A 19,952-nucleotide genomic window follows, 5' to 3' on the forward strand; every position below is an offset into this window, starting at 1 on the left:
AACTAATTTTAAAGAATGAATTCTAAGGAAAAACTGGACGACAAGTGTGCAAAGGTTTTCATAAAGATTATATTATTATAGTATCATATAAAATGGAAAATTTTAAAAACTTAAAAGTCCACTGGTGGTGCAAGAGCGAAATAAGTGATAGTGCATTCACAGAATAGGATGCTATGCAGATACTAAGCAAGATGTTCTCGTTGTACATTTATTGCTTGGAAAATGTTGCAAAGGCTGGGCACGGTGGCTCACACCTGTAATCCCAGCACTTTGGGAGGCCAAGGCAGGCAGATCACGAGGTCAGGAGTTCGAGACCAGCCTGGTTAACATGGTGAAACCCCATCTCTACTAAAAATACAAAAATTAGCTGGGTGTGGTGGCGTGTGCCTGTAGTCCCAGCTACTGGGGAGGCTGAGGCAAGAGAATTGCTTGAACCCGGGAGGCGGAGGTTGCAGTGAGCTGAGATCATGCCACTGCACTCCAGCCTAAACAATAGAGTGAAAATCCGCCTCAAAAAAAAAAAGTTTCATGATATGTTAAGTGCAAAAAGCAAGTTTCAAAACAATGTGTATATTATGATTCCATTTCTTCCTTTTTATTTACACATAGTATGTTCATAGAAAAATGAAAAAGGCTGTTCCCTAAAAGTGAAAGTAGTTAAATCTGAGTAGCGTAACAGAATCTGTTTTGTATTCTGCTTCTCAGTATGTTTATAGTGACCACAATGACTATTACATTGATCACCAGGCAGAAAGAGATGGGGAGATCTAAAAATGATTTCTACATTTTAGCATATTTTGATAGAATATAATTGTCTTAATTGACTAGTGATAAAAAATTTTTAAGGCCAGACATTTATTTAATAAAATGTCTTTTGGAAAGCCCTTATTGCAAGGACAAAAGCCATAATGGCTAAAATAATAGAAGCCAAATTGAAATTCTAACACACAAGGTGTAACTAGAGGGTTGAAGTTCTTCCAAATCAGGCAAAGGCCCTCATTCTCTTCAGCGTAGAGGTGTGAAGCCCAGTTGACAAACAGATGGCAGAATGGGAAATCCTTCAAAGTAGTTGTTTTTAATAACTTCTTTTGCCATCTACTCTCTCATAGCTTTGATCAAAAAAGGCACTGGACTCTCTTCACTTCTCTATTCCAATATGTTAGAAGAAATCAAATACTCCCAAGGGAGTCATGATTAAAACCAATGAGTCACCCAGTGAGAGAACTGCAAGGCTTGGGTTTGCAGAGATGGTACAGCAACTCATTTGCCACTTCACTGATGGGGTTTTGCAGGCATAAGCAGATGCTAATTCATCTCTGCCACTAAAGCCTTTGATATTCCAGTCCTGTCTGACCAATCTACTGGAGTTTATGACTTTTCTTAAGATAATAGAGTAAGTGATCAGAATCAATCCCCAGCCTACTGATCTTACCTGAATTCCAGTAACCCTACTGACTACTCCATGTTTAAAGACCTCCAAATCTACATCTCAGAAACATGTACATCTATGAGACCCCTGACTGGAAAGTTCTTCTCGGTATTAAGTGGTCTACACAGAACAGGGCTTAAGACAATAAACCCTGTTTGTTGCCTTAGGAATAAGACAGATCTGATACAGTTGCCACTCAGGAACTATGAGTCCTTGAGTAAACTTCTTAACTTCTCCAAGCCTCAGTTTCTCCATCTGTACAATGGGAATAATGCAAATAATATCTACTTTGATAAGTTGTTGTGAGGACCAGGTGAGTAGCATATATAAGGTACTGTATATAGAGTGCCTAGTATGTAGCCCTCAATGAAGGAGAAACTTGGGTTTTATTTTTATTAACAGTATTTTCTTTTCTAAATGCTCATCACCTATTTCTTTCAACAGTTTTACCTACTATTCATTTTAGATTAGTTTCCAGAAAAGTTGTTACTCTAAGATGCAAGCATGTATATAAATTTGAGTTCGTCCTTTTATACCAGCTGCTTTAAAAAGATTATAGCTAAGAATACTATAGACACAATTAAATCCATTTGTGATAGAATGCCTCAATGAATCTTTCTGTGAAATTTCTTGGGAATATTTTAATATTTTCATGCTCATGAACCTCAGTCCAACTCTATAACTTACTCCAAAAATCACAGTGAACGTGCTTATTGTGCTATATGTCGTGTAATGACATTTAGACAAAAGCAATGAAATCTGATCTAACCTAGCAATAAATGTGGTATAGCTGATTTCTGTGTAAAGTTATCAGTTCCAGCTTCCAGCTACCCCAGACAAGGAGCCTTGGGTAGTCTTGACATGAACTTAAAAGCAAAGCCTCTCTTGAGACAAGAACCAAGATCTACAATCACATTTCAAACGGATTTATGTCTTCCAACTAATTGACTTGTTAACTATGCTAATACATTCATGTCTCTGCCTTTATATTTTTTCAATAAGTAATGCTACAGAACTCGATGTTGTGAGATTAAAGAGCAAAGAATCTAGAGATTTCTGTAAACGCTTTTTCTATAGGAAACCAGATTAGACTTCCAAAACAGCTGATATAATTTTTGTGCATCTCCAAATATTTTATTTCTGTAGGAAACGTGTTGCTTCTCAGAAGATGGCTCTTTTAATTAGGCCTTATAGCCTGCAGGGAGAAAAGCTTCAACTTTCTCTATTTAGATAGGACCAACTTGATAGTGACAATACTAGATGTGCTATGCAGTGTCATCTCCTACCACAGTTGTTCAAAATATGAAGAATTAAGCAATAGCAGAGGTTATTCCCTCTGAACTCTGTGCCTTCTGTCATTCCCAGGTGGTGCTGGGGGCCAGCAGGGCTTCCTGGGCTGCATCCGCTCCTTGAGGATGAATGGGGTGACACTTGACCTGGAGGAAAGAGCAAAGGTCACATCTGGGTTCATATCCGGATGCTCGGGCCATTGCACCAGCTATGGAACAAACTGTGAAAATGGAGGCAAATGCCTAGAGAGATACCACGGTTACTCCTGCGATTGCTCTAATACTGCATATGATGGAACATTTTGCAACAAAGGTAAGGTGGAACCCATTTCCAGAGCCACTTTTGCGTGTCTTTTTAAGCCCAAATCATCTATTTAATGATTTTTCATATGTAAACAAGTGTACCTTATTCTGAGGTTAAGATGATCAGAATTTTTCTCTCAACTTAGGTAGGAATTTTCCAACCAAAATCATTTCCTAATCATTTTTGTTTGATAAAATGAGAGAAGCTCTGTGTATGGTGCAGAATTTCTTCCAGATTCTAGCAAATTATTCACTGCCCGAAACACTACAAAGGCAGTCTCATTACATCTTAATGGTGAGTGATAAAATAGGTGGCCTTCAAAAGGGGAATCAGGCCTGACCCTCCCACGTTAGGATCTCCAATAGATCAATTGATCAGTCAATTTCTGTAGTGAATCAGCCAGTGCACCCCAGTGGTCTTGATGCCCCCACCCCCTGCAGTTGCTAAGAGACTGGATTCAAGCTACACTCACCAGAAAGCTCCTCTGGTCAGTCATTAACATCATTATTATTACTCTTACTCAGGATGCCTTTGAGTGGCTCTCAGCCTAAGCTAAACTGCAGAAATGCTGAAAAACCACATTTAATTGGTCAGCTTAGAGCATCTGTTATTACTTGGTTATTTTAGTCTTGAATAATTCCTTTAATCCCCAGTAGATTCCGCAGAGCCAATGAGCAGAGTACAAGAGCCCAATGCATATGCATGTTATCATTTGAACTATACCCTGTGATCCTGCTTGACCAGAAGAAGAAATTGACTCAACTGGTCTGTGGCTTAATTTCCCATATATAAATGAGGGATGAAGAGAGGAGGAGCTGGTGCTTTTCCTAAGCCACAATTGAAATGCATGTAAATCACTCCTCTCTTTCTAAATGAATGTATAGCATATGGGTAAAGTTTTCTGTGAGCGGTTGGTGCATCTCTTAATAAGAAGCTTTACATAAGTAGCCTGTTCAGACTCTGATGAATACATGGAGGGTTGTTTACACTGGCATTATTCACACAAGATGCCACACACAGAAGGAGGAATTGTTCCATAACATTCTCTGTACCTCCAGGCTACTGTTTGGCAGCGCTATAATATGAGCATACAAATTAGGCCAGACAGGGTATGAAAAATGAGCATGAGACAACAACAAAGGTGGAAAGGAACACCATTGCAGAATAATACCAAAGCACATTAACAGTGCTATTACAGTGCATTTTTCTGTTCAGAACAACATGGTTCCATGATTTTCCTGCGGCACACAATTGAATGGGCCTGCAGAACACATTAATTTTGCACTTGTAGAAATGACAGTCTTGCAATTACCATTCATTGTGCTTGATGCTAATTTAATGCAGTCATTTCCTTGCCAAAGTAATGTCTGAATGCAATCAAGTAAGCACTAATGCCTGCGAGATTCCACTACATAAGTACCAGTTTAAAGAAAATCACCATCCCTTTATTTTTGGAGAGTTAGGTTAAACACAGTAGCTCACGCAAAACCTCTGGAGATTAATAGGCAATAGTCATGAATAGAAAGGCAGGGGCATATCCTCTCCAGGTTAGGCCACATTGCAGATAAAGTGAAATGACGCCTGTGTGTTGCCTCTGACATTATTTCAACATGTTTACACAAAAGACATCTAAATATTTCCTTATTATCTGTTTAGCAGAATGAGTTTTCATTTGATTCAATTAGTGACTTTAACCAAAAAATTTAAATAGAAGACTGCAAAACATATTTGGAAATCATTTATGAGCATCCTTCTGAGTCAAGTACCTCCTTGACTTGGTAGAATGACAGTGGAACTGTTTCAGAGGAATCCCACAGCTGTCCAGGAAAGCTTTGTCTGCACTGAGGCAAGCTCCATCAGGGACTGGAAGGATCTCCCAGCCTGATGCTGTCTCTGCTCTGGACCTCACTCTCCAGGTAGCCTGGTGCCTGCACAGCAGTTCCTGTGACCGCCCCCCACCTCAGGCTGGTGCTTCAGCCAAACAGCTCAGCCTCTACAAAGAGCTTTGGCATTGGCCGAAGAATGAGCTCCATGCAAGGCCTTCTCTGGCCTTCCTTTGGGAGTATAGGTCTATGCTTGCAGATGTGGAAAACATCGCTAATATTTTGCCAAGTGAATGAAGCAAGGCCCAACCTACCACACACAGCCGGACTACGTGTTTATACAAAATAAAACATGCATACACGCAGAGATGAGGCAAACAAACTGTGAGAATACACGCCAAAATATTAACTGTGGTTATTTTTTGCAGGAGGATAAAAATACTAGTATTTTTTCTTATTTTATTTTGCTTTAAGTTCTGCGATACATGTGCAGAACATGCAGGTTTGTTACATAAGCATACGTGTGCCATGGGGTTTGCCGCACCTATCAACCCGTCATCTAGGTTTTAAGCCCCATATACATTAGGTATTTGTCCTAATGCTCTCTCTCCCCTTGCCGCCAACCCCCCAACAGACCCCTGTGTGTGATGTTCCCCTCCCTGTGGCCATGTGTTCTCACTGTTCAGCTACCAATTATGAGTGAGAACATGTGGTGTTTGGTTTTCTGTTCCTGTGTTAGTTTGCTGAGAATGATGGCCTGTAGCTTCATCCATGACCCTGCAAAAGACATGAACTCATTCTTTTTACAGCTGCATAGTATTCCATGTTGTATATGTGCCACATTTTCTTTATCCAGTCTATCATTGATGGGCATTTGGGATGGTTCTAAGTCTTTGCTGTGTAAATAGTGCTGCAATAAACATACATGTGCATGTTTCTTATTTTGTTTTTGCTTAGCTACATTTTCCAGTCTTTGCACAATGATGTATTTCCTCTAACATCATTATTTTTTCTTCTTTGGAAAAATAATAGTAGGAAGCCAAGTTCTTACCCCAGACATTTGAGGGATAACTATCTCTGGTCATAAAATATCTAGCTATTTATTAGATATTATTGGACCATCTAGTTGTACTTTCTGGAATGGAGAAGCATGGTCAGGTGAAAATTTTATGTAATTATATTGTCCCTGAGAATCTCAATACATTTAACAATGCATTTGTTAAATCTCAATACATTTAGCAGAACTCATTTTCCACAAGCAGCTGAAGAGATCACCCTTCAGATGGGCATCGGAGGAAGGGCTGCCTTGTTGGGGTCAGGTTGCATGAAAATAAAGACCTCAAGACACTAGTATCACACTCAGCTATGTGAGAGGCTCACACTAGGACAGGCTTGGGACCCAAAATAGCCCAGGTCATAAAATAGCCCAGGGGGACAGATAAGCTAAGTCTCACCCCTGTATATTATTAGCCCATCCAGGAGAATGGTGGGCAGACAGCCCATACTGTTTGAATTCTGTTTTTCCCTCCTCTCCTTCTCCCCCTCCTCCCCATCCTCCTTATCATCCTCCTCTTCTTCCCTTCTCTTCCTCCTTCCTTCTCCGTTCACCATAAGCACAATCTTTATTTCTACATCAATCCCTGTCTCTGTCTCTGTCTCTCCATATTCCATACCTACTTTCCCTCTCTCCCTTTCTTTTGCTGGAGTGTATAGTTGAATATGTAAGTGAAATTACCGTGTCTTGTCACTTTGTTGAACTAGGAAGACAGGGCTGGATTTGAGTAGGTTCCTCATGATCATCTCTTCTGCTTTGTAGATGATGCACTGATACTCACTATTCCGCACTAGTCAAAACCACACAAGAAGGGGACTTCCTCTAACCTCTTATCCAAAACCCTTTTTTCTTTTCTTTCTTTCTCTTTTTTTTTTTTTTTTTTTTTTTTTTTGAGATGGAGTTTCTCTCTTGTCGCCCAGACTGGAGTGCAGTGGCACAATCTTGGCTCACTGCAACCTCTGCCTCCTAGGTTCAAGTGATTCTTCTGCCTCAGCCTCCCGAGTAGCTGGGATTACAGGCACCCATCACCACATCCAGCTAATTTTTTATTTTTAGTACAGACGGTTTCAACATGTTGGCCAGGCTAGTCTCGAACTCCTGACCTCAGGTGATCTGCCTGCCTCAGCCTCCCAAAGTGCTGGGATTACAGGCATGAGCCACCACACCCAGCCCAGAGCCCTTTTTCAAAGAGATGCCTAAAGATTTGACCACCAGTTAAAGTGTTAGCTCTCCCAGGGCTACTTGAATCTTTAGTAGGAGTGCTGACTGGGGAATATTTCATGGTTTGGAGATAGCACAAGGGCGTTGTGGAAACCCTACAACTAGACCATGCAGGCAGTCTCCTCATCTGTCGGCAGATAACTGAGCAGCATCCCATCTTCTCAGCACGTTCATCAATGAGGAGCAGTTTAACTCAGTGGAGGTAGGTCCCTTCCAATGCAGAATTCCTTGGCACCCCATCGGCTGAGGCTGAGGGGAGAATCATCCCAGACTACATGGAAGGTTTAACTGTGGGTCTGTCATCCCCAGGATTATTGGGGACCGAATGGATAGTTGCTTGGTCATGCCAAAGATAGTTTTCTAACATTAAAACTGCTCCTTCTTGGAGAGTCAGATCCCAAAACACTCAAGAATTCTATAATTATCAATGTCACTTTTATTACTAACCAGAAATTAGAGACATAATTTGCAGTACACTCTCTGTGTGTCTTCTCTGTGTGTTTAAGCAAGAGAGAAAATAACATACCTATAGTAGAGGCAGCAATTTCTGTGTTTACTTTTCGTGGTTGAATGCCATAGTAGATTGAATAGTGTCCCCCAAAATTCATGTCCACCTAGGACTTCAGAATACAACGTTGTTTGGAAGTAGGGTCCTTGCAGATGTGATTATGGTAAGTTGAGGTCATACTAGGAGGTTGGCCCTAAATCCAATGACTGTGTCTTCATAGGAAGAGGAGGGGGCACAGAGGTACTGACAGACATAGAAGGAAAGCCATGTGAAGACGGAGGCAGAGATCGGAGTTACACTGCCCCAAGCCAAGGAATTCCTGAGGCTACCAGAGGCTAGAAGAGTGAAGGAAAGATTCTTCCCTAGAGTTTTCGAAGAAGCGTAGCCCTGAGAACACCTTGCTTTCAGACTTCTGGCTTCCTAGGAAAATAATACAAGTTCGAAGAAAAACCTACCATCTTCTTAATTCTTGCTCTTAACAAGGATAGCAGCTGGTATTTATTGAGAACTTGTCTGCTAGGCAGTGTGCTAAGCTTTCTAATTGTGTTAGCATCGTTTAATCCTCACCACAACCTGGTGAAATGATTGCTATTACTAGTGCTCCTATTGTACCAAGAAGGAGATGGTTGTAGTAGCCTGCCCCAAGGTTCACATATTAGTAAGAGGCAAGACTCCCTTTCCTTTCATTTTGTAGCAACTAAAAGCATAGCCTCTAGTCTTAAAGCTTTTTGATTATTGTGATTGAGTAAAAAGAAATTAGAATATTACTGGATGCAGAGTTTATCATAAAAAATAGGATACAAGAATTGAACAGACACTGTTTTTTTTTTTTTGCTACATCTAGGTGTAAGGTTTATTCATTTATTGACTCTTATTGAGCAAACATTCATTGAACACCTAATGTGCCCAGAAGTCTTGAATGTATAGTTGAATCTGACTACACTGAAATTTCCAAAGCATTTTAATGGTTTACAGATACAAAATCAGGCAAGTCTAGAATATATGATAGGAATACATGTGAATTGGATATCACCCAGGCTGCTGAAAACAGTTCTTCATTATGATCCTTTCACCAAGCCAAGTTAAGCAAGAACTTATCATCAAGAGACACAAAGATATCTCCAAATTCACTCATCTGCACTTTTTTTAACTATAAAAATGTTCATGTTCATATGCCAAACCAGGACTGCAGTTGAAAAATACATTTCTTTAATCACTCTGAAACCATTTTCTGAGTTAGGGAGTTCTGTTTTCTTCTCAAACATTCATTTGTTTATTGCTTAGAAAAAACTTGAAGAATAAAAGTCACAGGATTACTGAGTGACCAAGATTTGAATAGTCATTCAATCATTGCAGTGTTTCCATCATTTACAGTCACACAAATAATGTGCCACCCTCCCTGTGTTCCAGCTAAGTCTCCTATTCTCCCTATGAGTATTGTGAAGTTAGCTAATATTTTATAATCTGTATTATTAAGATGGTAGAAGAAATTGTTTATAGCAAATTCAAGTCTCAACCTATAAGATGATGATGGAATTAGATGTCAGTTTGAATCCATCTTTCTCACATACCTGTTACGTAACCTTAGGAAAATTGTTTGTCACTGAGCCTTATCTTCAGGAATACATAGTAACTACCTCTTAAGGATACCTTGAAAATCACACAGAATAATGTGAATGAATTTCCACATGAAGGACCTGGCACACAGCAGTCCAACAGCAAATGTCCTTTTCATTCTTAGCAGCTCTTTGCTTTTTGGTTTGTGTTTTTGTTTTTACTTAATTCATGTTGTCCTTTAATCCTTCCCTAATAGCTTTAAATGTCAAATGCCTAACTGGCATTATTTCGGTGATCCTTGAGTATTGGATTGTCATTTCGGTACTTCAGGAGCAGTGGCAGTGTCCTAAAATGTCATTTCTACTTAATTTTGGTCACAGTAAAAGTATTCTGAAGCCCTGAAGGGCTGAGAAGTATGCAGAGATTCTGGAAGATGCAACTGGAAACCACACCCACCATATCGGACTGGTTTTGTCAATAGCGCAAGTCTTGGAGCAATGTATCCAGTCCTTTCAAGAACCAAGTTGGGTCACCTTAGTAACTCCTGCATCCCTTCCTGACTCAAGGCCCATCAGGAGACAAGAAAGCGCTGATTAGCCAGGCACACTGGCTCACACCTGAATCCCAGCACTCTGAGAGGCCAAGGTGGGAAGATCATGTGAGCCCAGGAGTTCAAGACCAGCCTGGGCAACATAGTGAGAACTTGTCTCTACAGAAAGACAAAATTAGCCAGGTGTGGTGGCACATACCTGCAGTCCCAGCTACTTGGGAGGCTGAGATGGGAGGATTGCTTGAGCTCAGGAGGTCAAGGCTTCAATCAGCCGAGATTGTGCCACTGCACTTTAGCCTGGGCAACAGAGCAAGACTGAGGAAAGAAAGACAGAGGGAGAGAGGGAGAGAGAGGGAGTGAGAGAGGGAGAGAGGGAGAGAGAGGGAGAGAGGCGGGGTGCGGGGGAGAGAGAGGGAGGGAGGGAAGGAGGGAAGGAAGGAAGGAAGGAGAGAAAGAGAGAAAGAGTGAGAAAGAGAGAGAACAAGAGAGAGAAGAGAAAGAAAGGGAAAGAAAGAAAAGGGAGGAGAAAGAGGGAGAGAAAGAAGGAGGAGGAGAGAAGGAAGGAAGGAGAGAGAGAGAAGCAGAGAAAGAGAAGAAAAGAAAAGAAAGGTCCCAGACTCCTTTTTGCTCCAAGAGACCTCAGGCTCAAGTCCACGTTATACCTCTAAGGAAGAGAGGGTTTTCCACTTGCCTCCTAGAGAAACATTTCTTGTTGGATGTGAGGTAGTGGGTTTGCCAAAAGCGGTTGGAAGACTGAACAAATTCTGTTCCACAGCTCTCAGTATGAAACAGGGACCAGAATAAATGCATGGTCTACCCTTTTAGAGCAGGTTGGAGAGAAAATTAATTAATACAAAATATATAAACAAATAGGGAGAAAAAGAAGAGAAATGTTGGAAGTATGCATCTTAGAATTTCACCCCTATGTGAAATCAGCTAAGCTGTTAGTGACAATGGCCATTTTTCCTCAGGTCTACCTATCCAGTCTTAATAATCCCAGCTTGGAAGACACTTTCACATCAGTAGGGAGAGAAACTTTTCACAGGCTTCTTTTTCATTTTCAGTTGGAACAGGAGGTTTGACAGATTTGGAAGAAGGCCCAAAGGAACAAGAATAGAACCCTTTTTTTTTCTTTTCTTCTTAGAGAATTATTCAAGTAGAGAAAATATCCCTTCTCTCTTAATGTATTTCTTAAATCTTCAGACCTTAGGATGCAATTTAAAAGTATCATGGTAACTGTGATGGTTAATTTTAAGTGTCAACTTGACTGGTGTTCCATAGGGAGCAGGTCTATGCAAGCCTACCTCCAAAGGCCAAGGGAGCTGAGAGGCCAAAGAAACAGTCTGACAAAGCCAGTTTCTCAGAAGAAAAAAAAAACAAATTGAATAGGGACTTACCAACAGAAGTTGCGTCTCTGGTATCTACAAGATGAGATGGTGGATTCCTTTACCTCCTCAGACCCAGGGCCTATATACCATAGAGAAAGGGTCTACATGCTTCAGAAGCAAGTTACCCTAGAGCAGAATTTGCAGTAAACAGTAGATAAGGTGGAAAACTTAGTGGCATTCTGCAACTGGGTTATTCAGAAGCCAGCATGGTGCATTAGCATCCAAGAAGGAGGTGCTTTAGCCCCTACACCTAGAAATCTGTAAAGCATTACTTTGAGGTGGGTCTGTGAGGCTGTTTCCAGAGAACATTAGCATGTGGGTCTGAGTGGATGAGGTGGGGAAGAGCTACCCTCAATGTGGGAAGGCATTATCCTGTCTGCTAGGGGCTGCAGAGAACAAAAACAGAGAAAAGGTGGTAGTGTCTATCTATCTACTAGAGATGAGATATACTGTTTTGGGGCAACTCCAGGCTCCCTAGCCTTTGGGCTCCAGAACTTATACCAGATTCTCATGCTTTTGAGCTTGGGCTAAGAGTTACACCATTGGCTTCTTTTGTTCTGAGGCCTTTGGACTTGGACGGAGCCACACCACTGGTACCCCAGGGTCTCCACCATGTAGAGGACGTATCATGGGACTTCTCAGCCTCCACAATTACATGAGCCAATTCCCCTAAGAAATCCCCTCTCGTATGTCTATATCTATATAGTCTGTTGATTATGTCCCTCTAGAGAGAACCCTAATACCATAACGCATGAAAATAATCTGATTAAAAGCTTAAAAAATAAAGAGAGAAGGAAGAGCCAAAAAGTCAGAAAATATTTATGGATGAAAATCCATAAGTGGACAGAAGTCCACAAATATGTATGGAAAAAGAAAATAATTTTGACTTAATTCAGAAAAGTCAAAGCTGCAGAGATAGCTGCCAAGTTTAAGTGGCTTTGTTATAGAATTTTGTGGTGGTAAAATAACATTCCCCCTAGCCTGAGGTTCTCTTTGGGGTCCCAGATATTTGAGAAAACCTGGCCAATTAACTTTCTTAGAGAAAGAGATTTAAAAATTCAGTGCAGAAAAAGCAAGTCCTCCGTAAACTGTTCTAAATCTAATACAGGACAAAGTGTTCGGATTTGGCTTTGGTTGTAGGATAAATAACTTTTGTTTCAAGTGTGTGCCCTTTTTTTTTTTTTTTTTTTTTTTTTTTTTTTTTTGAGACGGAGTCTCGCACTGTCACCCAGGCTGGAGTTCAGTGGCACAAACTCGGCTCACTGCAAGCTCCAACTCCCGGGTTCACGCCATTCTCCTGCCTCAGCCTCCCGAGTAGCTGGGACTACAGGCGCCTGCCACCACACCAGGCTAAATTTTTGTATTTTTAGTAGAGACGGGGTTTCACCATGTTGGCCAGGATGGTCTCGATCTCCTGACCTCGTGATCCGCCCGCCTCAGCCTCCCAAAGTGCTGGGATTACAGGCGTGAGCCACCGCGCCTGGCCAAGTGTGTGCCCTTTTCTAATCCCCACCAGTGTGGGGACACAGCTGAATTTTTTTTCCTGAGTGTTTTATTTGTATATGTTGTTGAGTGTTTTTATTTCCTGTTCTTCAGCAATGATCAGAACTCTAAATAATGTGAAGTTCACAGAAATAACACTCTTTATCTTTTCCCACATATTAGCTCCATGACTTGAGCTGAAACTCTATACATTTCTTTTCTTTTCTTTTGTGAGCCAAAAAGGAACTGGTCTGATAAATTGTCCTGAGGGTTTTGCTTTTAGATTGCTCACATGTTTGGCTGCCCTGCAAGCAGGTCCATTCACCAACGTCCACGCTGCCCTTGAGTACTCCATCACGTCTATGGGCCATGAAGACCTGCCTCTGACATGCAATTTCTTCACTCCACAACCATTTGCGCGCTTATCATTTCCAACAGGCAGCTCTGGCCTTAGCAACTGGGCTCATTCCAGGCATTCCTTGGCTACAGGAAATTTACTTTCTTAAATAATCAAGCCTGAGACTATAATGCTATAGCCTACCCATTTTATAGATCAACCTGGCTTTGAACTCACTCACATATTTTTACCTCTATTAATTCCAACTGGTTACAAGAGTGTTTGATTTAGATAAATAGGCATTTTATATTTTTCTGTTTAAAACCAAATCCTGAGAAAACAAATTATGAAGAGCCAGCTGCTCTCTCTGAGCCATCCTTTTCTTGGCATTTTAAATGTATTACCTTCATTTTCTCAAGAGGACTGGGCACAGGATATAGTGAAATGTTTAACTTGACTAACAATACTTTCTAGCTACTCTTCCAAGGGATATGTTTACTAAATATAAGGTGGCTTTTACAGTATTCAAGTTCTATAAGGCAAAGACTCTCAATTAAATTAAATTATTGGCAGTACAATTTAACATTCTACATTCTGTGTGAACGAAGTAATTTCAAGCAGTTTGATCATTAATAATAATTTTATTCCTTCCTATACACTGAGCACAAGTTTAGTGAAATACGGGAACATGTACAGAGAGCCTGCTGTGGGGGAAGCAGTGGATTGCCAGCAAGGAAGGACAGGATGAATAAGACTAGGCTGGGAATGCAATGGAGGGGATAGAACCAACTGCAGCATGCAGGGAAACAAGCCAGAAGGCCGAGTGAGAGACCCCCATGGATACCCACGCTGAAGGTTCTACTGGGAGGGCTGCCTGATTCAAAGTCTTGTCCAAGGACAGCATGGCAGATAGTGGTGGGTTGCACCTAATTCTGAGGGCGTAATTTGGGTTAAGGGAGAAGACTCTTTGGAAAACATATATCATTAAAGCCTAAAGTCTAAAGACAAAAGTTTTAAAGCATCTCAATTTTTTTAAAATTGTCTTTGAAATAATACAATTGATATTTACAAGAAATACTTATTTGCTTTTTTTTTTTTTTTTTTTTTTTGAGACAGGCTTTGAGCTTTGTTGCCCTAGCTGGAGCGCAGTGGTGCAATGATGGCTCACTGCATCCTCGACCTCCTGGGCTCAAGTGATCCTCCCACCTTGGCCCCCAGAGTAGCTGGGACTATAGGCATGTGCTACCATACCCTGCTAAGTTTTTAATTTTTTGTAGAAACAGGGTCTCACTGTGTTGCCCAGGCTGGTCTCAAACTCCTGGCATCAGGGTATGCTCCCACCTCAGCCTCCCAAAGAGCTGGGATTACAGTCATGAGCCACCATGCCCAGCCTACTTATTTGCTTTTAATATTACAAAATTGAATTGCTTTAGACATTAATAGTGGACAAAATATTTTAGGAGTTAGATTAGCTTAACTATTTTTCAAATTATATTCCACCAGCCAAAAATATTTCATGAGGCTTTGCCTTCTTTAATTTCTAATATGAAAACAGTAGGGAATTTTTTCCATTTTTCAAAAAGTTATTCTAATAATTAATATGATTTTCTCAAAATACACGTCTCCTTGCAGTTTTTTCCCTTACTCCCACCTCCAGATAATTTTATATGAACCTAGTGGACACCTTCCCCTTGAGTATTTCTGCCTTAAAGATAACTTTAAAGATACAACTTCAAAGATAGATCAACAAATTGATATGTAAACCAGGCACGGTGGCTCATGCCTGTTAATTCCAGCATTTTGGGAGGCTGAGGCAGGATTGCTTGAGCCCAAGAGTTTGAGACCAGCTTGGGTTACACAGTGAGACCCCATCTCTATAAAAAAAATAAATATCTAAAAATAAATTGACATGTAAATAAGTTTATCTTTGCTTTTTGTTAAAAGAGGTCTTCTAAAAACTTGCTTTTATCAACTTTAACATTACTAAATTTTATTTTAGTATTCTGAAGTTTAGACCTTAACTAATGCAAATTTGCTTACTTTAGACTAGTACAAATGACTTATGATTTACCTGTGCCAGTAGCCAATCTCACTTTCTGTGCTTCTCCCTAGGGAGTTGGGTCAAGTATAGCTTACAGAGAAATACCAAATTCTAGCCCTTATGTGAATCATTTCTCAGCAATCCTCAAAGGCACCAAAATGTCCTTTCACATCTTCTATTTCTTTCCATCCTGGATTTATGACCAGAAACACAGACAACACTATTCTAAACTAATTTTGTTTAAAGAAAGGGGAAATTTGTACTTTTTGAGTTTATCCCAATTAAAGAGGGAATCTTATATTATATAGAACAGTGGAACAAGAGTAACTTGAATTCCAATTTCAACATTATTAAAAACCAAAGTGAACAATCCTAACTAGGCATTCTGTTTCTTTATAAATTGCACTAATTATATAAAATTCATTATTCACAAGGCTGTGAGGATCAAATGAGCTGATGGATGTGAAAGTGCTTTGAAAAGCATTAATGTTATAAAATGCAAATTATTATTAAGTTTATTAATCATTGAGTCACTGAAAGCCTCTTTAGTGAGAATCCTGCAAAATGTAAACCATTATCTTTCAAGAGCTGCTAGGAAATCCTAGACAGAACTTTTCTATCTGTGTTGTTAGTGTTGCCATAACCAACAGCAAAACTTTTCCCTCTCAATTGTTGACATTAGTGCTCGCCCGTCTCTCTGTACAGCACTGAAATGCGTTATCCAGAAGCTCCGTGCTCACAACAATCCAGCAAGACTTTAGACCTCAGAGTTATACTAGTTCATGACAGGCAGTACTGTATTCATAGTCAGCCAACCCTTGAATGCATGGCCCTGATTAAATTCCTGTCTCTGTCATGGAATTGGCATGAGTCATTTGGCCTGGAACATCATTAAAGCAGCAAACACACTTGAGATTAAATAAGAATGGATTCTAAAACATCCTCTTGAGGTTGTTATTGAGATCGTTAGCAAATCATGTTGGTTCCTTGAGTATCTTATAGAGTTTCAAGAAATAAAAAGCAACTGCTACATTGTAGAAAGTACATCTAAAATTTTCCTCTTATCCCAAGTGATTGACAGTCTCTCTGCATCCTCTGCCCCGTTACCAAGGATGATAACTCCTGTTCAGATGAATGAGTCCAGATTTTTCTCAGGTCTAAGCCAAATGTAACCCAAATATTTGAACAAGTCCATTGCTAGTCACTTTTTAGTTTTCAGAGATGAATAAAGCTATAAGTAAAATGCTTTCTAAAGCTTTACTATTGAAGTAATTTGATTTAAATCCCTTTTAAATAGGTCTATTTTAGCCTGTTGACTTTTATATTTCCTTAACAAATGTCTCTTATAAAGGAATCTTGTAAATTCAGTTAAAAATATAAATTAAGTCATGTAAGTCAAATTAAAGCAGTAGATCAAGTTATAAATTGAAACAAGTTTATAATCCCTCTCCTCTATTAACTAAGTTAAAATGTTATCTTCTGTGGCCTCATACAACAACCTCCTGAATCATAAACCACCTGAGGTTATGACAAACACTTAATAACTTCTTTTAAAATATCAAGGACTATTCCAAAAGACTTTTATTTCTGTTACTATAATGAATTTATGATTACTCAGACTTTCAGCTTTTGCGCTAACATTCAAATGTCATTGGGTTACTTATTCCAACACTTCTTCTATTACTATAGATGGTTAAAAGTTCAGGAGGCCCCTTTTGTCACAAAATCAAAGTATGTCGTGGTTGAAAGGACTATTTCATTCATTCATATTCAACTGATATTTTATTAAACATTTCCTGTTATGCCAGGCACTGAACTAAGTGTGTTCACATAGTTTACCTTATTTAATCATCACAACAACATTCAGGCATTGATATGATCACCTTTATTTACAAAATGAAGAAACAGAGACTTCTAGAGGTTAAGTTTATCATCCAAAATCACATTGCTAGTAAATGGCAGATTGAGATTGGAATCCTAGGTCCCTGACTCCAAGCCTAGTGTTTTTTCCACCATATACACTAGAATGATGTCCTCTTTATAACACACTCACTGGATCAGATCCAAGTTGTGTTCATGGAGAGCCCGGGACCACATGAGGCAGCCCTCTTCCTATTTGAGCATTTCAGACAACTGGAAAGATTTCCCTCATCCTGAACCATCATCTCTATTAAAGATGGAGAATGTCTCCATGAAGAAACAGTGGGTGTCTGGCTCTGGGTTCAAATTCCTGTGCCTGTAAGAACTCAGAAACACCTATGCACCTTCAAAATCCCCAACTCTGTGGAGATAAGGAAGAGCACCTGGCCTAAGTTTGACACAAAAGGGGTATTTAATAGCTGATTCATTCCTTACTCTTCTGTTTCCTTTACCAAAGTCTCAATGGCCCTTAAAACTAATATGCTGACACACGGTCAGTGGTCCAATTTGCTATGGCTATTCTCCCAATGCCCCAGGAGGCCTTGAAAGATATTGGCCTTGCTTGTTGTCCAATGTAGAATGGTAAATTAATGAGATCCTTGGATACCAGATAACACAGCTTGCCCTGTGTGTCCTCTTTCTATCTTATCACCCTGATGACTCAGGGCAGGCCTAAGTCCTAAAAGTTCTGAAGAAGTTTCCCTTCTTTCTTTGCCGTTCTTTCTGAGGCCCTCTCTGTGCGGTTGAGCAAGGAAACATACACACACACACACACACACACACACACACACACACACAAACAGAGCCAGGTGTGAGCTGGACCTGTCGGTTTCTAACAATAAGTCTTAGATAACAAGATAATTCTTTGTGTTTCTTAGGGTGCCACCCACACACCGTATCCATGCTTTTGTGTTAATAGCAGAGACTTCTCTTTCTGAATATATGAGGAGAGGAATAAAACAAGGGATGTGACCAAATAAATTCTTCTGACATGAGAGACCACTTTAGATTGCCTTATTACAAAGAAGCTGATTTGCAGGGTAAACACAGGCCATGCCCTGTAAGTTTTCTTATTGATGAAATTCATGCTTTGAATTACTGATTGATGGTTGCTGAAGGATGGCAATTTCTCTGTTCCAGTCTGGAGACTGCGCTACGTAAAACGAGCTTCTGATGATGGAAATTCTAAAATCCAAACAAAACATGGAAACAATTTTTTAAAACTCGACATCTATTTCTATGAGGAGCTAGGAGGGTGGATGCAATTGGTCAGCTCCAGCTGTTTCCTTGCTTTTATTGCACAGTTGTTACAAAGAGGAATTCAGTGTACAACTATGAGCTTCCGGCCGCTCAAGCTACTGCATTACACTACATGGCCATACTCTGATCCCAACATGAGCTTTTTTTCCTCTAGCCAAAGGATAATGTAAAAATTATGACACAAATAAAATATTTATCCTCTAGGCATGAGTAAAGGAATTCACAAATCAGAACATAGCTTGCAAGCATACAAGAGTATGCTTGAGCAGTCCCCTCTTTTTAATAAAAATCAACCATATGAATAAAAAGCTGCCCTGCCCCAACTTCACCCCCTACCCATCACAGACCACACCACCACCCCACCATCCCCGCATACATGCGTGCACACACATGCACACACACACACACAAAGCCACCCACTACCATTGCAGCAGGGAATCACTGATTTTTTTAAATTAAACTTTTAGAGAACCCATGAGTTTAGATGGAAAAAATCGTGGGAGAGTAGGAATAGTTTAAGGAATGTGCTTGGAGACCAGCCACTCTTCACCCAAAATGATTTCCTTTGAAATTCCTGACTTGTTCCCTTTCTGTCCTGTGACCTATTGTTCTATTAGGCCATTCTATTCTATTACAGCATCATTTGAATCAGTAGGAGTGGGTCTGGGAGGATGGTAATACCATCTCTTTAATACCTCAATGTGGACGGAATTGAAATGGCCAAGTCCTTACCCAGAAGAGCTGTCCTGAAGAAGGAGCATTGAGTTTGAAGGGAGGAGCCAGGTGTAATTTAGGAGTGGGGAAGACATTGGACAAGCTTTGAGGAGATAGTTAAGATGACTTCCATGAAAACAGAGAGCTGAAGCCTGTTAGTAACAGACTGGAAGGAAGAAAGATACTCCTTTCTTTGCTGATCTTGCCTAAAGCCAGCAGGTCTGCACTGGCAAAAAGAGAGGAAACTGTCTTTCTCTCCCCTCTGGCAGTTTCTCTTCTACTAAGATCCAGAATCCAAGCTAATGGCATTAGTGCTATAATTTGGTTTCACTACTAAATAATCTTTAGTTATTGATCCATGTTAGAATTTTGTACTATTGGAAAATGTATTCTGAGTTCCTAAAATCAATTTATATTATTATAATGTATGTACCGTACTATCATTATGTACATAGTATTAGCATATATAGCATTTCATTCCCTTGAAACCACTTGGTCTTCATACCCATCACTTAAAAATACTGCTTCATATTATTCCACCCAGTGGGTTTACCAAAATTTATTTAACCTAAATATTTCACAATAGGGAAATGGCAATTTCAATTTCTGTTCTTAAAATTGTTTCCAATTTTTTTATTGTAAATAATACTGCAGTAAATGATTTTTGCAAGTGGCATTTCAATATTTTACATTATTTATTGAGGATGGATTGCCAGATATGGAGAGGTAGAGTTAGAGGATGTAAAATGCTTAGGCTTTTCACGTACAAAGCTAGTAAGATTTTCTAAACACAGTGCCAAAGTACATGCAGTATACACTGAGAATGCCTTGTTCTCTGAACACTACCAGCAATGTTTTTCTTTTTTTTATTTTTATGAAGATAATAAGCTAAAATGGTAACCTATTTGCCTTTACTTCCTCCAAAATCCCTAGAAAAGGATTTCAAAATTTTTTTGAAGGTAAGAGTCAATCTAAACAAAGAGGACAGGAGAGGACAGCAACATTTAGAAAGACGGCAAGCAAATGGAGGAATAACACACTTAGTAGACAAAGGGAGGCCAACCCCTAAGCTGGT

General features: G+C 39.8%; 1 protein-coding gene across 1 annotated transcript in view, besides 1 other annotated feature; it reads left to right on the plus strand.

Moving 5' to 3' along the window:
* CNTNAP2 (contactin associated protein 2) overlaps positions 1–19,952 on the plus strand; it is a 2,304,198-nt gene that overhangs the window by 2,052,647 nt on the left and 231,599 nt on the right. The window contains exon 18 of the mRNA NM_014141.6: positions 2,795–3,031. Within this exon, the coding sequence (NP_054860.1) occupies positions 2,795–3,031 (237 nt within the window). The remainder of the gene's footprint in view (positions 1–2,794; positions 3,032–19,952) is intronic.
* Positions 2,227–3,426: an enhancer, noted in NCBI's record as "BRD4-independent group 4 enhancer chr7:147868766-147869965 (GRCh37/hg19 assembly coordinates)". NCBI's record gives its function as "activates an origin of replication core promoter dependent on BRD2, P300/CBP, MED14 and CDK7 cofactors, and independent of BRD4, by STARR-seq in HCT116 cells {active_cell/tissue: HCT116}" and the evidence as "EXISTENCE:reporter gene assay evidence [ECO:0000049][PMID:35650434]".

Source organism: Homo sapiens, chromosome 7 (genome assembly GCF_000001405.40).
Source record: "Homo sapiens chromosome 7, GRCh38.p14 Primary Assembly".
NCBI lineage: Eukaryota > Metazoa > Chordata > Mammalia > Primates > Hominidae > Homo > Homo sapiens.